General features: G+C 39.1%; 1 protein-coding gene and 1 non-coding gene across 4 annotated transcripts in view, besides 3 other annotated features; both read right to left on the bottom strand.

Annotated features, from left to right (window-relative positions):
• Positions 1-20,980, bottom strand: part of ARHGAP10 (Rho GTPase activating protein 10) — a 340,689-nt gene that overhangs the window by 277,473 nt on the left and 42,236 nt on the right. The gene's annotated exons all lie outside the window — the stretch shown is intronic.
• On the bottom strand, positions 12,636-12,709 carry MIR4799 (microRNA 4799). The gene has a single exon (NR_039962.1). It is a non-coding gene; the product is annotated as a microRNA 4799 (primary transcript).
• Positions 14,356-14,405: an enhancer, noted in NCBI's record as "active region_22009". NCBI's record gives its function as "activates an Ori minimal core promoter by ATAC-STARR-seq in GM12878 lymphoblastoid cells {active_cell/tissue: GM12878}" and the evidence as "EXISTENCE:reporter gene assay evidence [ECO:0000049][PMID:35858748]".
• Positions 14,736-14,875: an enhancer, noted in NCBI's record as "active region_22008". NCBI's record gives its function as "activates an Ori minimal core promoter by ATAC-STARR-seq in GM12878 lymphoblastoid cells {active_cell/tissue: GM12878}" and the evidence as "EXISTENCE:reporter gene assay evidence [ECO:0000049][PMID:35858748]".
• Positions 16,158-16,397: an enhancer, noted in NCBI's record as "active region_22007". NCBI's record gives its function as "activates an Ori minimal core promoter by ATAC-STARR-seq in GM12878 lymphoblastoid cells {active_cell/tissue: GM12878}" and the evidence as "EXISTENCE:reporter gene assay evidence [ECO:0000049][PMID:35858748]".

Genomic DNA, 20,980 nt, shown 5'->3' with positions numbered 1-20,980 from the left:
GTACTCTTACAAGGCACTTTCAAAAGGCAAGTAGATTACATATCAAAACTCAAATGGGCATAGCATGGTGGCTCACACCTGTAATCCCAGCGCTGCAGGAGGCCAAAGCAAGAGGATTACTTAAGGCCAGGAGTTCAAGGCTGCAGTGAGCTATGATGGTGTAACTACACTCCAGCGTAGGTGACACAGTGAGACCCTGTCTCTAAGGAAAAAAACTACAAAGGCCACCCTTGACCGGCAGCTGCTACCTTACAAAGAAAGCCACAAAGGAAATTAATATTTCACTAGCTGCCACACTATATGGAACTGACTATAGTCAACTGCAAAAGCAGCTGGAAACCTCAAAACGTACTTTAAATATTGAATTTTTATGGTAAAGTATGAGTGATAACATGTTGGAAACCACCTAGATGTCTATCAGAAGGGGAACTGGTTACACTGTCCTATACTTACATGATAGAACACCACAAGAACATTAAAATCATGTTTCAAAAAACACTAAATGGTACTGTAACATGTTTGTTACTGCATGATCCTGGGCTACTTTAACATCTCAGTCTCAACATTCCTCATCTGTAAAATGGAGATAATGGAATACTCAATGGCAATGGGAATGAACAATCCCAAACTACATGCAATAGCATGAAACATAACAAAATATGTACCATATAACTCAATTTCCAGAAAACACAAAAACCAATCCCAAAAAATCTGCTACTAGAAGTCAAGATTATGGTTCTTGGGGGCTTTGAAGCCCTGACACTTGTCGAGTGTGTATATGTTCTGTTTTGCTCTGGATGCTACTTACACTGGTGAATGTGACTCATGAAAACCTAACCAGTTGTATACTCATAAAAGTGCACATATATATGTGGTACATTTCAATAAAAAAAATTTCATGGAGATAATTATAGGATCCTCTTCATAGGAATGTTGTGAGAATTAACATTATGTTGCAAAGATTGACATAAAATGTTGCCTGCCTAATCATGAGTGAGTGCACAATAAATATTAGGTATTCTTATAATCCTCCTAATGCTGACAACACAAGAAGCTCTACTAAGTGTTCTCTCAATGAACAAATTTCTGAAGTGAAATGAATCACTCACAACCTCTGCAAAACCATAACCGCTCTGTAAATTTCCTGTGGCACTTACTTTGCACTTTCCACCATAATTATTTGTGTTCGAGCCTGTCCCTCCCCTACACTTACAGCTCCCGAAGGGTAAAACACTTGGCAGTCTTTGTATCCTTCACAACACACACAACAGCAGGCTACTCAATCACTGCAGTCTGTGATCTGCAGAACATTTTAAGAATAGTAGAACTGTTTGAAAATTAAACATTTTACTGGGCAAAATAATGTCCCTTCTACACTTTATTTTTTAAGGTGCTGAACCTACTTTGCAGGTGGAACTTTAGATTCTGTTAAGAATGCCTATGTGTTTCTACTTGTTCACTTCTTCATTCCACAAATACGTATCAATGTACAAAGGTCAAGAAGCTTACTGTTAAGGGGGAAGGCACGTACACAGGCACGGATGATTTGTTTCTGCAAGGCGCCTCAGCAGAGGAGGATCCATGGCTCCGCATTATGTTAACTCCCTGACTTGGTGATTCCTGGACAGTTGAGCAGTATACACATGAAGCCTCAGAAGTGAGGGCAGGCTGATACTTTCTCATTTTAGGAGGGGATCTGAGTACTTTTATTCCCTACTCTGAGTCCAGGCTGAGATGGACAAACTTCTTTGTATTTTTGGCTAAATAGCTATGCGGGGAGATCCCAGGTCCAACTCCTCCTTTCAAGGCCCCATTCTTTTTCTAGATATAACTGTTAAGGCTCCAGGCATTTTGTTTCTCACTCTGATGCAAGTTCAACTCCTAAGATATTGCTCTGAAATTCTGTTCTTTCTTCACTGGCACATCCTGGGTATTCTTTCCAGAATTTATAATCACAACTGTACATTTGTAAAAAAAAAAAAATATATATATATATATGTGTGTGTTATATTTTACCCCAATATTGCTAAGTATTTTGTGAACTGAAACACCTACCATACATATATATACACACACACATATATACATATATACACACATATACACACACACACACATATATGCACACACACACACACATACATACACACACATTTTCTTTTTTTCCAGAGAGTCTCACTCTGTCGCCCAGGCTGGAGTGCAGTGGTGCAATCTCTTGGCTCACTGCAACCTCCACCTCCCAGGTTCAAGTGATTCTCCTGCCTCAGCCTCCAGAGTAGCTGGGACTACAGGCATGCATCACCACACCCAGCTAATTTTTGTATTTTTAGTGGAGACGGGTTTCACCATGTTAGCCAGGCTGGTGACATCAAGTGATCCGCCTGCCTCGGCCTCCCAAAGTGCTGGGATTACAGGAGTGAGCCACCTCGCCTGGCCAACTACCTTGTATTTTTAATACACCTTCAACCCACATTCCCCAGGACTCCTACAGAGAAAGCTCAGCTGAAAAGGAGTTCACAGAGTGAAACTAAAAACACAAAAGAAAAAAATCCCCCATAAGCAAAACAGAGCAGACACTACAAAAGAACAGGAATGAGACCAAAGCCAACACAACAACTTGGATAAATCATAATAATGGAGAATAAGAAAAGCAAGGCCCCAGAGGACCACAAAGAGAACTAGATAAGGAATAATAAAGCTCAGGTAGCATATATAAAGAGGGAAGAGGCCGAGAGACGGAGTGAGGAGAAGCACAGGAAGTTGTTGGTAATGTCTCAGAACCTGATGAGCTCGTAGGTGTTCATTATATTATAAATAAAGCAAATAAAAGGGCCATGCAAACACAAATGATAATAATGGGTTGTGAATCAAGGATTATGATTAATCTACTTCTCTGAACCTGAGTCCCTGTCACCAATAAAGAAGGAGGGAAGGAAGAGGACATGTTATAAATAGGCAGCTCAAAAAGAAAAAGCCTGAAAGGCCAATAAATACGTGAAAAGATATTCAACCTCACTCCAATCAGGAAAATGCAGCATTCAAGTTAGAAACAATAAGGTATCACTTTTACATCAACAGATGAGCAAAAACTCAAAAGTTTCACAATACAAAATACTGGAAAAGATGCAGCTCAACAAAATCACCAGTACAATGCAGAGGGAATGTAATCTGACTACTGTGTAAAGCAATGTGTACTATCGAGTAAAGGTGAAGACAACCCTGGAGTGAAAGACGCTCACGTGCTACCACACAGCAATTCTACTCTCACGTGATGTCCCCAGAGAAACGCACATACACATCATACACGCGTCAGGAGACATGTATAAGAATGTTCACCAGCAGTGCTATTTACATTAATGAAAATTTGGAAACACTCCAAAAATATCTGACAACAGAACAGACTAAGACACTGTAGGACAGGCTGGGCACGATGGCTCATGCCTGTAATCCCAGCACTTTGAGAGGCCAAGGCAGGTGGATCACCTGAGGTCAGGAGTTCGAGACGAGCCTGGCCAACACAGTGAAACCCCATCTCTACTAAAAATACAAAAACTAGCTGGACATGGTGGCGGGTGCCTATAATCTCAGCTACTCGGGAGGCTGAGGCTGGAGAATCGCTGGAACCCAGGAGGCGGAAGTTACAGGGAGCTGAGATTGCACCACTGTACTCCAGCCTGGGCAACTCCATGCCCCGCAGGGAGGAAAAACAAAAAACAAACAAACAAACAAACAAAATATATATATATACACGCGCGCACGCACGCGCGCGCACACACACACACGGAATAACCATTCAATGGAATGCTATATGTTAGGTTTTTAAAAAAGAACTACAGAATGTAGCAAAAAGGAAAAAATAATGTGGCTTTTTTTCCTCCTAAAGTACAGAAGAGGCCGGGCGCAGTGGCTCATGCCTGTAATCTCAGCACTTCGGGAGGCTGAGGCAGGCAGATCACCTGAGGCTAGGAGTTTGAGACCAGCCTGGCCAACATAGCAAAACCCTGTCTCTGCTAAAAATACAAAAATTAGCCAGACATGGTGGCAGGCGCTTGTAATCCCAGCTACTCAGGAGGCCGAGGCAGGAGAATCACTTGAACCTGGGACACAGAGGCTGCAGTGAGCTGAGATCGCACCACTGCACTCCAGCCTTGGTGACAAAGAGAGACTCTGTCTCAAAAAAAAAAAAAAAAAGTAAAGAATATGTACAGTTTGCTGTTATTTTCATAAAGTTTCAAAACAATATACCTTACATTACTCATAAACTCATACATATATAATATGTATAATATGTACACATATAAAAACATATGTGGCAATGAAACATCCCAAATCCACAATAGTGGTTACTTATAGAATGGTAAGGACACAGGATGAGGAGGGGTCACAGGAGCCTTCAACTCTCACAGAGATTTACTTATATTAAAAAATATTTTGACTTGTTTCCTTCAAATATTAAAATCTGATAAGGCCAAATGCAAGTACTGAAGTATTCAGTATAGTATTCTCTATGTACTATGTTTACAATATTTCATCCAAAAGGAAAGACACGACCAGAAGGAAACTTGATAAAACTTATTTGAATATGATAGTTAGAAAATAACAGCATATAACTTTAACATTGGCCACCAAATGTGGGCTACTCTAGCTCAGGTTTTTATTATCCCTTTGGCACAGAATCTAGCACAGGGCCTGACTCATAAGAGGTGCTCAAGTAAATATTTGCTTAATGAACTGGACAAGCAGGTAGAAAAAAGTCGAATTATTAATCTAGTCACCTCTGAATATTTTCAAATGTTTTGTTACATCTTAGAATATTTGAGAGTATGAATAATAATTACTGATACACTGGATCTTCTCAACAATTGAGAACATACTTTCTGCCAGACAGCCCATTTTTTAAAGGTATTACTAGGTGTTACGAACTGAATGTTTGCGTTTCCCCCAAAATTCATATGTTGAAACACTAACCCCCATGTGAGGTGGCACCTCTGGGAGTTGATTAAGTTTAGATGAGGTCACAAAGGTGAAGCCCACCTTATGGAATTATTGTAAGAGAAGGAGACTCAAGCATGTGTTTTCTCTTTCTCTCTTCCCGTGTCCCAAGTGAGGACACAGCAAGAAGGTGGCGTGCAAGTCAGGAAGTGGGCCCTCACCAGATACCGAATATACCAGCACCTTGATCTTGGACTTCCCAGCCTCCAGAACTGTGAGAACTAAATGTCTGTTGTTGGAGCCACCCAGTCTGTGGTATTTTGTTATGGCAGCCTGAGCTAAGAGACTAGGATTTAAAAAAAAAAAAAAAAAAAAAAAAATCCACACACCAACACACCTTTCTGTTCATTACGAACACACCTTCTTAATTGCTAATAGGAAAGGTTCCGATGTGAGCCCTCATAAATCCCTGCCTTGGGGAGCTGATGAGACTCCCACACATCATCTGCATCCTGTCTCCCTGGACCAACAGGAATGCTCTGATTTTTAATGACTTCCATCTGTTTTACAGATGAAGCTTTGCTTATTTGGTAAAGACCCAAATAGGAAGTGAAAATACAAAAGGTCAGAGTTCTGATACCACCTAGCTGTGTGCACTGGGCAGGCCAGTTAGTCTCCATTTACCTGAAAACTATCTAAAATGTGAGATTTGGCCAGGTGGCCAAAGTGTCTTCAGTTTCTAAATCAGAATATTGCATTAGTTAGGAATGTCATTTAAAATATGTCATTTAAAACATGTGGGCCGGGCATGGTGGCTCACGCCTGTAATCAGCACTTTGGGAGGCCGAGGCCAGGAGTTCAAGACCAGCCTGGTCAACAGAGTGAAACCCTATCTCTACTAAAAATACAAAAAAATTAGCTAAGCATGGTGGCACATGCCTGTAATACGAGCTACCCAGGAGGCTGAAGCTCAAGAATCGCTTGAACCGGGGAGGCAGAGGTAGCAGTGAGCTGAGATCGTGCCACTGCACACCAGCCTTGGTGACAGAGTGAGACTCTGACTCAAACATAAATAAAATATGTGGAAAACACAACCAAGTGGCCCTCAGCCCACTTAAATAGAAATGCACCTTGATGAAATATTGCTTAGATAATAATTATGCCATGCTGAACTTAAGCTTACAGTTGAATTGACTTCTCCACGACTGAATGGAAAGCAGCAGATAGTGTTCACAAAAATAGCCTCCTTCCCCAGTGCTCACTCCCAAAGACAGTGGGAGACGCTAAGAGGGGAGGTCACACTCACAAAAGCAGTCACCACCTTGCAGTTTTCAGTGATATCATCAGTTCTGTGAAAATTTCATTAGCTGAAGAGAGCTGCTGCTGCAAGAACCGGATAAGTTTATGGCATGAACATCATGTTTATAATTCTTTCATAATATTAACTGATGTTTCAACCAAAACCTGGTTTTATTCCATCTGAGTGACTTTCCAGATGTTGCTGTACAGCTTGTAGCTTAATAAAGCATGAATGTTTTCTCAAGCATGTGAAAATATCTAGATTTCCTGGTGTCATGGGAATCTGCTAAAGTACTGATAATTAGAGCTCTCAGCAAATACCTCAAGAATATTGTTCCCCATTTTTACCAACAAGAGAGATCAAGCATGGATATCATTTGAGATAATCAGACTGTTTATAACCCACTGTGCAAATTCTACACACCAAATACCGCAAATGTGTAAAAAGGAGCAGAGCAGGCTGGTAGAGGTTAATGGAGGAACCTGCCCTTCCCAGCCCCATGTGCTGATCTCCTTACCCTTGGTCTCACCCCTAATCTCACCAAGGACTGGACAAACAAAAGTGCTTTCACAAGTTTTCCTTCATACCTTCACTGGACCTCAGAAGCACTTTTTTTTTTCTTTTTGAGAAGGAGTCTTGCTCTGTCACCCAGGCTGAAGTGCAATGGCGTGATCTCAGCTCACTGCAACCTCCGTCTCCCAGGTTCAAGCAATTCTCCTGTCCCAGCCTCCTGAGTAGCTGAGATTACAGGCGCATGCCACCACACCTGGCTAATTTTTTTTTATTTTTAATAGAGACAGGGTTTCACCATGTTGGTCAGGCTGGTCTCAAACTCCTAACCTCGTGATCCATCCACCTAGGCCTCCCAAAGTGCTGGGATTACACGTGCAAGCCACCATGCCTGGCCCTTCAGAAACGCTTTTTAAAAAAAAAAAATCAAATTTTTTAAAAGGAGCTATTTATGGTGTCCATGTGGAACGGCAGGGGTGTGTTTGGTTTGTGGATATAAGGAAAAGAGATGTGGAGAGGAACCGATGATAAATCCTAAAGTAAATTCTCACGAAGTTTTCTCACATCCGGGAACTATTTGGGTTTTAAATTCTTAGCCCTGATTTTGCCTTAAGCCCCTTATTCCTAATCCTATCAAAGGTACCCTCCTTATTCACTTTCTAAGTCACAGACCCTCTAACCCTCACAGGTCGGGTGCCTCACATTAACTCCAGTCACGCTGCTGCTGTCTTCCCCCCAGGCATCATGACTTCCAAAGATGAGGTTCTGTTACTACTCCATAGGCTGTGCACACAAGGCGACAGGATTCAGTGGTCACTGGTCATGGCACCAGGTGGCCAGGTGAAATGAGAAGGACAACAGGGGAATTGGTTGTGAGGGCTGAGCCAGGGAAGCACGAAGGCAGTGGGCTCAGACTTTGGTCCCCTCCAGAGCTGAGACCAAAATGAGGTTTTTCTCATTCTAATCCCATCTGACTCAACAAACTGCTGCCAGATTAGTTTTCCCAATTCCAACCACCTCTCCTGCCCAGAGTCCCCCAGATTCCTTAGCTGATCCTCACAGCCTTCCACAGTCTGGCAAGAACACATTTGCGAGCCTCCTCCCCCACCGCTTCCATCACTCCACTCAGCCAAGAGAGTGATTCATTTTCACCTTCATGAGCTTCATCTTCTCCCCCTGCTGATGTTGTGTTCATGTGTTTCCTAAACTGAAAATACTCCTCCCTCATCTGTGTGTTTCAACCCTGCCTTTATTCATTCAAATATTGAGCCCTCACTGTGCCAAGTGCATCTCAAATCCCAAGGAAAAGAAAAAATAAATAAATAAATACTACTTCTACCAGAATGTCACACCTGATCCTCCCACTGAAAATACCCTCCTTGCTTCTAAAGCCTCCAGCACCCGATTATGTGACAACCCTGATCTTCTAGCTTCCACCTTGGTCATCTGCTGAGGAGATATGACTAGTGAGAAGAGCTGCACATTCTTCAGCACACAGGCCGAGCACTCCAGGTCCCTTCACAATAGAGAAGAAAGCACTTCAGGAACAAAAAAGTGACTGACAACATATCACATGCTCCCAAGAGGTGGAGATAAGAAATGAAAAGCATCCTCTAAACTGAGTCCAGGGAGGTCAGAGGTGTGACCCTGGAGAAGGCCACTGTCACAAGAGTGAGGACAGCAGAGAACTGTGGAGCAGGGAGTGTTGAACAAAGAAAGGGCAGGAGGAAAGACAGCACAGGCTGAATACAGACTCATTTCTGTAACCCACCTTTCCTCCACCCATACCCTCAAATAGCTTTAACAGGTCTTACAGGTTCAAGATAGTAATCACTGTTGAATAAATTCCAACACAAAAACTAATCTATGCCATCCCATATGTATGCCATCCCATATGCACGACCTGCATAATATTTACCAATGCTTTAAGTTACCATTTATCCTCCATTATCCTTTGAAACATTAAAACTTTTTTCCTACTGCTGTACATTGAAACTCAACGTTTCATGGAATTTTCCCCCCTTTTGCTCCTGCAGATGGGAAAGTATCTGGGTTAAGGGAAAGAGATCAATGAAAAAGCGGAAAAAGAAAATCCTTCCTACAGATTTTGAGACTCACGCCACTTCTCCCTGCCATTGCTAAGAACTAAGCTGCTTTTCAGGATGCCGCAGCAGGCTCCTAGACTTCCCAGTCTCACCGGGCAGTTACTCAGGTGGTCACATAACCTGAATGTTGTTGTTTCCAGATTCACAAAACAAACACATTTAGAGACACAATTTGATCTGTTTTCATAGTAACATGAATGCAAATCAGTTCTTGGATATGATGCAGCTGCTTAAGAGAGGCTTCCAGGCTCTCCAGCTACCAGCTAATAAGGTTACTTCCTCTTAATAACCTACTTCACAGACCTCTTTAGAGATTTCACAGCTCCTCAGCCCAGGGTCTCCCCCTGTCTTACTTTTAACCAAAAAAGCAACCATGCACCTGGAAATTAGGAAACCAACAGCTTTTCAACAATCTACCTCAGAAAAATTCTTGTCAATAAACACACAAATCTCAATTTTCCCGAAATCAGAAAGAAGTTTGACCTGTAAAAGGAGTTAATACACTCAGTTTTTCACTACTAGAGACTTGAAAAATGTATTTGGTGACAAATTATGAAAATAGGGAGTGGTTTGCCTATCTAAAGGATAAAGAAAATGAGCATCACTTAAGTCAACTATGAGCTATGCCTTTATAATTATTTAGAAATCTATTATATTAAAATCTCAGAGTACAATCTTCCTTATATGAAATAATTGCTGAAAATCCACACTAATTGGCCAAAGTCACAGCTAACAATGACAGAGTGAAAATCAAATGCCTGTCCTCTTAGCAGTACATTTCTTCAAGCAGCTTAGTATTTTCATTTTAAGAAAAAAGAGCTCAGACATGATAATGTTGTAGGGGGAGGGAAGGTTGTCTGGATGACTTCTGTTTGAAAGCATAAACTACATGTCATTTATGTCCTAGATATCATATACATACACCCATGGGATGCTCAGGGAATTCATGGCAGGACTTATGGTATCATAAACATTATCTTTGCAATATTTGTGTTCTAAAAGTTACACACTATTGATCTGACGGGCACAATACAGCTTTCACTTATGCCTAAAGTTCTCAAGGCACCTTTTGAAAGCAACTGGGAATCTGTACCAATACATGTCAAATCCGGGACCAGAGAACAGAAAGAAGCAAAAATGGAGCACTGGATTGGAGACACAACAGAAGAAATAAAACACAACAAGCCATCACTTGAAAACTGGGAAATCTAAAAGCAAAACTACAGCCTTGTGATTTTATTTTTAGATTTAGTGATGCCTGAACATTCAAAAACTCTGTTTCAATGTTAAGTACTAATGAAAGCTAAACAAGTCAATATTCAGAGCTGTTCTTTCCCTTTAGCTTAGATGTTATTCTTTTTTTTTTTTTTTTTAGAAAATAGTCGTCCATACATTTCATCATCTTGGAATCAACTGCATATATATATTACATATATTTTATAATATATAACATATATTTCATAATATATATTTTAAAATATAACATATTTCATAATATATTTTATAACATGTTTTATATTTTATAACATATATTTTATAATATATTATATTTATAATATATATTTTATAATATATTTATAATATATATTTTATAATATATTTATAATATATATTTTATAATATATTTATAATATATATTTTATAATATATTATATTTATAATATATATTTTATAATATATTATATTTATAATATACATTTTATAATATATATTTATAATATATATTTTATAATATATTATATTTATAATATATATTTTATAATATATATTTTATATTTATAATATATAATATATATTTTATAATATATATTTTATATTTATAATATATAATATATATTTATTCTATTTTAAATATATAATATATATTTATAATATATATTTTATAAATTGCATAATATATATAATATATACTATAAAATATATGTTTTATATTATATATATTTTGCAGTATATATTATATATAAATTAAATATATATATAAATATAAATTATATAATATATATCATATATAACTTATATATTATGTAATTTAAAAATTATATATAACTTTATATTATATAATTTATAAATTATATATAATTTAATATGTATTATATAATTTATAAATTATATATAATTTAATGTTATGTAAATTATGTAATATAAAATTTAATGTTATGTAAATTATATAATTTAATGTTATGTAAATTATATAATACACAATTTAATGTTATGTAAATTATATAATACACAATTTAATGTTATGTAAAATATATAATACACAATTTAATGTTATGTAAAATATATAATACACAATTTAATGTTATGTAAAATATATAATACACAATTTAATGTTATGTAAATTATATAATACACAATTTAATGTTATGTAAATTATATAATACACAATTTAATGTTATGTAAAATATATAATATATAATTTAATGTGTGTTATATAATTATATAATAATTTAATGTGTTATATAAATTATATAATAATGTGTGTTATATAAATATAATACACAATTTAATGTGTGTTATATAAATATAATACACAATTTAATGTGTGTTATATAAATATAATACACAATTTAATGTGTGTTATATAAATATAATACACAATTTAATGTGTGTTATATAAATATAATACACAATTTAATGTGTGTTATATAAATATAATACATAATTTAATGTGTGTTATATAAATATAATAATTTAATGTGTTCTATAAATTATACAATACATAATTTAATGTGTTCTATAAATTATACAATACATAATTTAATGTGTTCTATAAATTATACAATACACAATTTAATGTGTTCTATAAATTATACAATACACAATTTAATGTGTTCTATAAATTATACAATACACAATTTAATGTGTTCTATAAATTATACAATACACAATTTAATGTGTGTTCTATAAATTATACAATACATAATTTAATGTGTGTTCTATAAATTATACAATACATAATTTAATGTGTGCTATATAAATTATACAATACATAATTTAATGTGTGCTATATAAATTATACAATACATAATTTAATGTGTGCTATATAAATTATACAATACATAATTTAATGTGTGCTATATAAATTATACAATACATAATTTAATGTGTGCTATATAAATTATACAATACATAATTTAATGTGTGTTATATAAATTATACAATACATAATTTAATGTGTGTTATATAAATTATACAATACATAATTTAATGTGTGTTATATAAATTATACAATACATAATTTAATGTGTTATATAAATTATACAATATATAATTTAATGTGTTATATAAATTATACAATATATAATTTAATGTGTGTTATATAAATTATATAATATATAATTTAACATATAATTTACATAATATATAATTTAACACATAATTTATATAATATATATAATTTAACATATAGTATATAATTTATATATATAATTTAACATATAGTATATAATTTATATAATATATATAATTTATATAATATATAATTTAATATATTATATATAATTTATATAATATATAATTTTATATATTATATAATTTATATATTATATATAATACGTAATATATGTTATATATATTTTATGTTGTTTTTATATATATATGAAAATTTTTCCTGGGTCTTTGGAGTCTTTAGAGACTAGCTGAGCTGTGAATAACTCAGGAATGCTGTCAAACTAACCAGGAAGTCTTTACACACATAAATTTTCCAGAAGTCTCTTCTTTCCTGTTTGCAAACTGGTCTGACCCCTCAGAACAAGTTGTACCACAGTCAGTACTGGGCATCTCAGACTGCTAATATATAAATGCAGCATGCCAGTCCCTGCATCTCAGGACTGGCATGCTGCATTTAGATATTAGCAGTGACTGAACCGATTACCACACAGGGCTTTACAAAACACCTTCAGGTCATTTGACCCAGCGATGTACACAGTTCTCACAAAGCAGATTTCTCAGCTTTAGTTCTTGCTGATGTTAAGACGACTCTTTCTGCTGACAACTGTTTCCACAAAGTATTCTCTAACTAGTAAATGACTCATACCGGAAGAACCCACTCCTGAAAATGTATTAATTTCATGCTGATAATAAAACGCATATGCCATGTGGAAAATGCCACCAGCACTCCATGACACTACACAACTTCAAAGACATAGAGTCTTGCTCCTCATGAAAACTCAACGTAGTTCAACACGCCCAATACATGATCTTTCAACCATACTGTGCCAAACTGTCAATTTTCAGAGTCAAGTATTTGTATGCCTAAACCCCACACACCCACCACAATTAAATTCAGTATGATTCAGTCTCTCTGCAGGACATTCACCTTATGGCAATGTGGCAAATGCTGCACTAGCAATAAAACTGTTCTCTTCATTCAAGTTGTTACTTTGCTATATTACCCCTTTGCAAGGCAAGGTCACAAGAGACATACTAAGCGGTAAAACTATTCAGCGACTTTTTAAAAGCCACTTATTTTACCGTATTTCAGAAATCAATGAAACTCAACTGTCAGTTTTCCAATGTGGAAACTCAGATTTAAAATAGATACCTAGAGTTTAGCAATATGTATCAAGAATTATACAAATCTGACTAAGAATTTAACTATGGAAATACTGACGCGTAAAGATGTACTTTGCTATCACTTATAATAACAAATAGCTGGAAAGAAATCTAGATTAGTAATTGTATGCAATTAATAAAGAAAACTAAGCCGAGATTGCGCCACTGCACTCCAGCCTGGGCGACAGAGCAAGACTGTCTCAAAAAAAAAAAAAAAAGAAAAGAAAAGAAAAAAATGAAAGAAAACTGGTACATTTAGAAGGTGAAACACTTAGCCATTAACGATATTCTTAGTAAAACATTTAGTATGGCAACATAGTCATAATAAGGACTACTATACCCTTTTTTAAAAATGGAGAACAAAACAAAAATGTCATAGTATGAACATAGTTGAGGGTCTTGACAAGGCGGTATTTAAGATGTAAAAGTAGCTCCCCGTATTTTTAAATGTGTATATATGACTTGCATATTCCCCATATGTAGGGTGAGCCTACATCCTGGCTTGCCAGGTCCAGCCCAATGTAAATATGAAATCATGTCCCAGTTTGGTCAAAAATTAAACGGTTGCCACACCTACCTATCCCCCAATAGTTTCTGGCACAATCTTAGCTCACTGCAACCCCCACCTCCCGGGTTCAAGTGATTCTCCTGCCTCAGCCTCTTGAGTAGCTGGGACTACAGGCACAGCTAAATTTTGTATTTTTTAGTAGAGACGGGGTTTCACCATGTTAGCCAGAATGGTCTCGATCTCTTGACCTCGTGATCCGCCCGCCTCAGCCTCCCGAAATGCTGGTATTACAGGCGTGAATCACCTTGCCCGGCCCCGCCAGTAGTCCTAGGTTAGGTCACTAACAGTTACTCCCTAAATCTATAGGGTTAAGTTTCCCACCATCAAATGCAAATCTGAGCCCTTGCGTCTTCTCTCATTCTCTGGAGCGTCTTCTCTCATTCTCCCAAAAGTGGGAGGTGGAGGACAAATGGCTTAACCCACACAAAATTGATGATACCAGCCTAGTGAGGCATCTTCCCTTGGCCCAGTCCACCCTAGGTGGACTTGCTCTCAGAGGATGCCATGCCGGCAGCACTCCTTTAGGTACCTGCTCACCCTGCTGTGTCTCAAGTTCTGTTACTACTTGCCTTTTCTGTCACCCCATGGCTGCTGCCCTGCTTATACCACCCACAAGATGAGGCAGGCTTGTTATGACCTGGGTATTTCCTTCTCTCTGGATAGGCAAGTGACTTCCCCTTCTCAAGTCCCTCTCCATGCAAAGGAGAAGAGGGGAATCCCACAACAGGGCTGCCTGCTCCCTGCACTGATAATACAGTTCAGTCTTTTTTTCCTAGTCTCCTTCTTCCCAAGGCCCTAAAGTCTCAAAAAGACACGCAAATGAGACCAAGCTGAGCACAGCATTTCATCACCTCTATAAACACTGCCCTCTTTCCTTCAAGCCTGCTGACCGGGCTCCCTCCTCCACTATGGTACCATTTTGTTTCACCCTTAGCGGGGCTACTGTCACTCCCAGTAATGTGACCGCATGCAAAGTTGGGGTGTAGCTAGATACTGGGTAGGAGAGGAGAGGTAGGGCAGAATCTGTCACCTAACTCCACACACTGGCATGCTGAGCCTCGGCCCTGATCCAGACACGGGACCAGCTCTGCTCCCAGATCCACCCACAGCCACAGAAAAGGGGAAGTGAAACGAGTGCAGCCATCAAAGGAGTAATTTATGGGTAGCTCACAGATTTTTAATTTTATAATTATGTTCCAACTTTTCTACAATGAGCACATATTACTTTGAAAATGAGGGGAAAACTGAAATAAACAAATCTGTAAGTGTTCATAATGTTCAGATAATTAGAAATTAGTAACTTCCAGAAAAATTAAAGATACTGCAATCCCATGTAACAAGGCTTATGTACGAAGAGCAAAAGTGACATTGTCCCACTCATACTCGGGCAAGACTATAAGGGTGTAAGTGTCTAGGGAAAATTACAGTGAAATGGCTTAGTGCATTTTTAAACAACATTCTTCCATTTAAACCTCAGAATAAGAGGAAATTTCAGGGTCAACAGATTACATATTTAGAATCATGAAAAGCTTAAACATTACAGACAAAACAAAAGGCATGGTACATTCATAGACCCTTCTGAAAACAGGATAGGCAATCATCTTTGGAAGAAAATAACTTAAACTCAGTTTTAAAGTAACTGATCATTTGTGCTCTTGCTCTGACTTCCCCTTTCTGTCAATGTGATCACCACTCCCCAGACTCCCAAACTGAAGGAAATGTTGGGTCACCTTTGCATTCTTCTCTCTTCCTTACCTTCCTCACTGAACATCCAGCCTTCCAATTCTCTCTCCCAAATGCACTCCTGAGATAATCCATCTGGGGGACACTGCACTATGCTACAGCTTGCTTTCCCCCCTCAGGACCCTTCCCCATCTACCAAATTAACTGAAAGGAGATGCCAATAATATTCTCCTGATCAAAATTTGTCAATGGCTTCCCACTGCCTAAAGAGAGTGCCAGCTCCTTAGGCTGGTACTCAAGATCCCTGGGCCCAGGGCCACTGCTTCATACAAGTCACAACGCAGTGCACACCTGCCAAGAGTGGTCCCTGGAGGTGGGTGCCAGGCTGTCCTACCCTCCACCTCTGCTCCAGCATGACTCCTCTGGCCGCAGCTTACATGCTCCCCACAGCAGTGGTTCTCACGTGCAGCCCCTGAACCAGCAACATCAGCATCACCTGGGAACCTGCTAGAAATGCAAATTCCAGGGCGCTACCACAGGACCTACTGAAATGGAAACTGAAGATGCAGTCCAGCAGATGACTGATACACACAAACCCTGGGAACCACTGCCCGGAAGAAACCCTCCACATCTACCAAACACATATTCGCTATTCCCACGTCATGATTTCTACTTTCCTTTTCAGTACCTTAGTTCACAGGACAGCTTCCTCCCCGCCACCTACCTAAATCCTATCTACCCTTCAAATTAAAGTTTAAGTCCTTCCACCATAAACTCTTTACTGGTCATTCTAAGTGTTCTTATTTTTTGGCCTCCAACAGAATTCATTCCCTGTACCACTCACTCAACACTTATTAAAATGAAATGGAGCAAGAGGATAACACTGCAAAGGAGATTACAAACAGATTTTATAAAATGTGCCAGTTTGGAGCAAAAAGGAGCGACATCCAGGAATCATGTGTTAAGAAATACTCTAAGGCTATACCCAGGCAGGAATAGGACATTTTGATTAGCAACACCCCTATGAGCAGCTTCTTGGGGTATGAGGGAGAGAACACGTGCATATTTACTACAAATTTCTCATCCCTGCTCTAGGGCTTTAACAAAACTGAAATATGAAAAAGGGCTGTGAAAGACCCTAAGACAAAACAGACTTCAGTTAGCATAACTTTTGCCCACCATTTAATGCTCTGTGCCCTTGGCAGGCAGGTCTCCAACAGGACTGTGAGAAAGCGGCTCATGTCATGGCAGATCTCGGTAAGTTATGTCCCAGGTTAAAGAGTTGTAGCACACTGTAAACACAATGCATATCTAATTGTTTTCCCAGAATAACCCCCCAATTACACTAGGCCACGTGATATGAGGGGCAAAAAGAGGCATTTTATGTCAGACATCTATCATACAACAGGCAGCACCCACTCTTTCAAAGGTGAGGAAATTCACACACATGCAAAAATCCTGTCTGAGCAGGCATGAAAAAATGCCATCTATTTCAAATCATTTTGCTCCTCTCAGCGCTAAACCGACACTTCTAGCAGGATCTCCCCTGTCACAAACCCATGTAGTTTTTACATCACTGATACCTCCACCTAAAGTATAAGCAACTTGAAGGCAGAAAGCAAGACTTGTCTGGATCCTCATGTCATCTAGTTGAGTGCCATGCATAGACTAATGAACAGTAACTACACACTGGCTGGACCTGCAACGTGCCTTTCTAGCATGAGGATTCCAATTCCTCAAGTTTTATCTCCCCATCTATAGGAAAGAGTGTCTTTAGAAACTTGGATTATTAAAAACACAAAATTGATGGCACAATAAGGACCACAATGTATAATTTCATGTATATTATTCAAAGAAATGAAAAGCAGAGTCCACTCCCCCAACACCTCCTGGTTCACCTTTTACTACTTAGAGAAGGAAACTATCCCTCCAGAGGTATACTAAAGATGCTGCTGGAAATGACACAGACATGAGTCACCCTTAAAGGTCAGTCAGTGTGATCCAGTGTTAAGAGATCTGACCGTCTGACAGGAAGGTTATATCTTTAAGCCTTAGGTTCAACGTGAGGTCAACTTTGGAAATTACACCCTACCCGGCCAGGTGTGGTGGCTCACGCCTGTAATCCCAGCACTCTGGGAGGCAGGCAGATCAGGAGGTCATGAGATGGAGACCATCCTGGCTAACACAGTGAAACCCCATCTCTACCCAAAAAATACAAAAAAATTAGCCAGGCATGGTGGCGGGTGCCTGTAGTCCCAGCTACTAGGGAGGCTGAGTCAGGAGAATGGCGTGAACCCGGGAGGTGGAGCTTGCAGTGAGCCGAAATCGCGCCACTGCACTCCAGCCTGGGTGACAGAGTGAGACTCCGTCTAAAAAAAAAAAAAAAGAAAATCACACCCTACCCAGACGATTCTATCCAGCCACACAGACTCTAGTTCAATTAGCAAAGACAGAAAACCAAATTTCCTAATGGTAAAAGGCCAGAGATACATAGCTGAAACGCAAATCATGCATATGCACCTTAAAACAGTTTAACATTAATGTAAATTTATGTCCAAGAAGAAAACTGACTGTAACAGCTATCAGCATAGCAGTTATTTTCTGCTGCCAGGACACGCCCAGTCATAGGTTGCTCAGATCAGTGATGAATATAGCCACTTATCTCCAGAGCGTCAATGTCACTGCAGGCCACCAGGAAGGAAAGACACGCTCTCTCGTAGGACAGAGCCCACCCCAAAGCTTTTACCATAGTACTATCGTCCTAACGAAAGTCCTCGAAACTCTTCACAGCATCTGGACGAACTGCATTTTGCTGTCTCAGCCTCCAACAGGCAAGGTGAAGTCCATGCTGCGATACAAGTCCCAGTGCACTAAGCTCCCAATGCTGCCCCATGAGCGAGGCAGCTGTTCCCTATCAAACCTTCACCCAACAGAAGCAGCAGAGCTTCAAGTCACATGGGCAAGGAAACAAAGGGAATAGGAGAGTCTCTCTTGTGCACATTTATCAAAAGTTCTAGAACAATGATTTCTAGTCAGCTTGCTGTCTTGGGGGAGCCCCACAGGTAAGTCTCTGAAGGGAGAAATATGCTTCACATTGAACCAGAACAAGTATTAAAATTCTATCACTCAGGCTGGGCACGGTAGCTCATGCCTGTAATCCTGGCACTTTGGGAGGCCAAGGTGGGTGGATCACTTGAGATCAGCCTTTCGAGACCAGCCTGGCCAACATGGTAAAACCACATCTCTACTAAAAATACAAAAATTAGCTGGGTGTGGTGACGCGTTCCTGTAATTCCAGCTACTCAGGAGTCTGAGGCAGGAGAATTGCTTGAACCCAGGAGGCAGAGGTTGCAGTGAGCCGAGATCACACCACTGCACTCCAGCCTGGGCGACAGAGCAAGACTCCGTCTTAGAATTTTTTTTTCCATCATTCATTCGCAAAAGGGCAATTTCCTCATTAGCAGTAGGTTGTATCTGTTGCCACTAGCAGGTCTACACAAGATAAATACACCAGCTACAAGTTAATGATTACGAGGAGGCCATAAATGATTGCAAGTAGTGGTATTTTATATTATCAAAAGTCTTAGAAATCTCAAAAAATTCTCCATCTGAAAAACTGTGGAGCTAACTTTTCGGAGCCTGGATTTAAATCTGGGCTTTGTGCTCGGTGCCATCATAGCCAGCTTACGGAACTTTTCTATGCCTCAGTTTCCTAGTGTGTAAAACGGAGATGTTGTTGTGGGAAGGGTCAAATAACATACATTATATCTCATGACAATATCTGGTATATAGTAAGCATTCTATCAGTATTAGTGATATTATTATCATCATCAGAGCCTGCCACTATCCAGATGTGCTGCATACATGCTGTTTTATACCATAATTCTGTGCAAAAGGATTTAGAGCCCCCATGCCTAGGGAGGAGGAAACTAAGACTCAGTGTGCATTATTTATTTGTACTAATAGGCTGAGTGGCAGAGCCAGAATTCAAAACCAGGTCAGCGTAGCCAAAAAGCCTGTGATCTTTCCATATACCCACTCTGCCTTCTGGGTGAAAAGGAAACAAGGACCAGGGGTACTGACAATAATCACCTTTCTCCTACCAGGCCAGGCTACAAGGTGCTTATTCTGCATATGTGAGAGCAAGGCTTGATAGGCCCCTAATGCAGCTCTGAGGAAGAGTCTTAACTGTCACTGGCCCCTGAAGCTGGCCCCTAAGACAACAGGTATTGCTTTCTCCTAGCAGCCTCTCACACACAGCTCTGCTCATGCAGACAGACCACCTCCATTAGCCTCAGCCTAGGGCAGAACAGCAAACAGCAGAACTCATTTAAAGCCTATTTATTTCTAAAGGCTGGGGACTGGCCAGGAGGAGGGATGCAAGCTTTAGGCCTGGACTCCAGGAGTGAGAATGCTGAGGGCACTTAATGACCATCAGGCCGGTGCGGTGGCTCACGCCTGTAATCCCAGCACTTTGGGGGGCCGAGGCGAGTGGATCACGAGGTCAGGAGTTCAAGACCAGCCTGGCCAACATGGTGAAACCCCGTCTCTACTAAAAATACAAAAATTAGCCAGGCGTGGTGGCGAGAGCCTATAATCCCAGCTACTCAGAAGTAGAGTACTCCTGAGGCAGTAGAATCACTTGAAACTGGAAGACAGAGGTTGCAGTGAGCCCAGATCATGCCACTGCACTCCAACCTGGACAAAAGGGCGAAACTCCGTCTCAAAAAAAAAAAAAAATACATCAAGGAGGAAAGGGCTGTGGCAAAGGATCAGCATGGAGAAGACAGCAAAACAAGTGTTTCTATGTCAGCTGGGGGTCCTGTTGAGACTCTGTCAATGACAAAATGTTCTTCTCATCTCTGCCAAGAATCTTTGCCCCAAGAGGTAATCTTGCTTACCTCTTTAAGCAAGTTCAAGGAAGAAACGAAACACACACTAGTGCTCAGGTAAAAGCATTATTTGAATTTTATACTATCTTCCACAACACACAAGAAGCTTTGTAAATCCTGGGTGGTCACCCTCTCATGAAATAAACAAAGTCACAGGAAATAAAGAGGCTGAGCCCTAAAGGTTATAATAAATAAGTAAATATGTTATAGAATAAAGAAACCTGAGGGGAAGAAAAAGAGATTAAAACTTTGACTTCAAAATTGTCCTTATATAACCCTTGTCCTAAACACATACTTTAAACCCTACAGACACAAACCCAGGTCATGTTTTCCACCTGCACACTCTTACAGGCAAACCAAACCCATCCAACAACATTGGATACCTGCAGAAATAAATTCTGCCACACAGATTCCACTAAGAACAAGAGTTCAT

Source organism: Homo sapiens, chromosome 4, assembly GCF_000001405.40.
Source record: "Homo sapiens chromosome 4, GRCh38.p14 Primary Assembly".
In the NCBI taxonomy this organism is placed as follows: Eukaryota; Metazoa; Chordata; class Mammalia; order Primates; family Hominidae; genus Homo; species Homo sapiens.
This window is presented reverse-complemented; position numbering and strand designations above follow the sequence as displayed.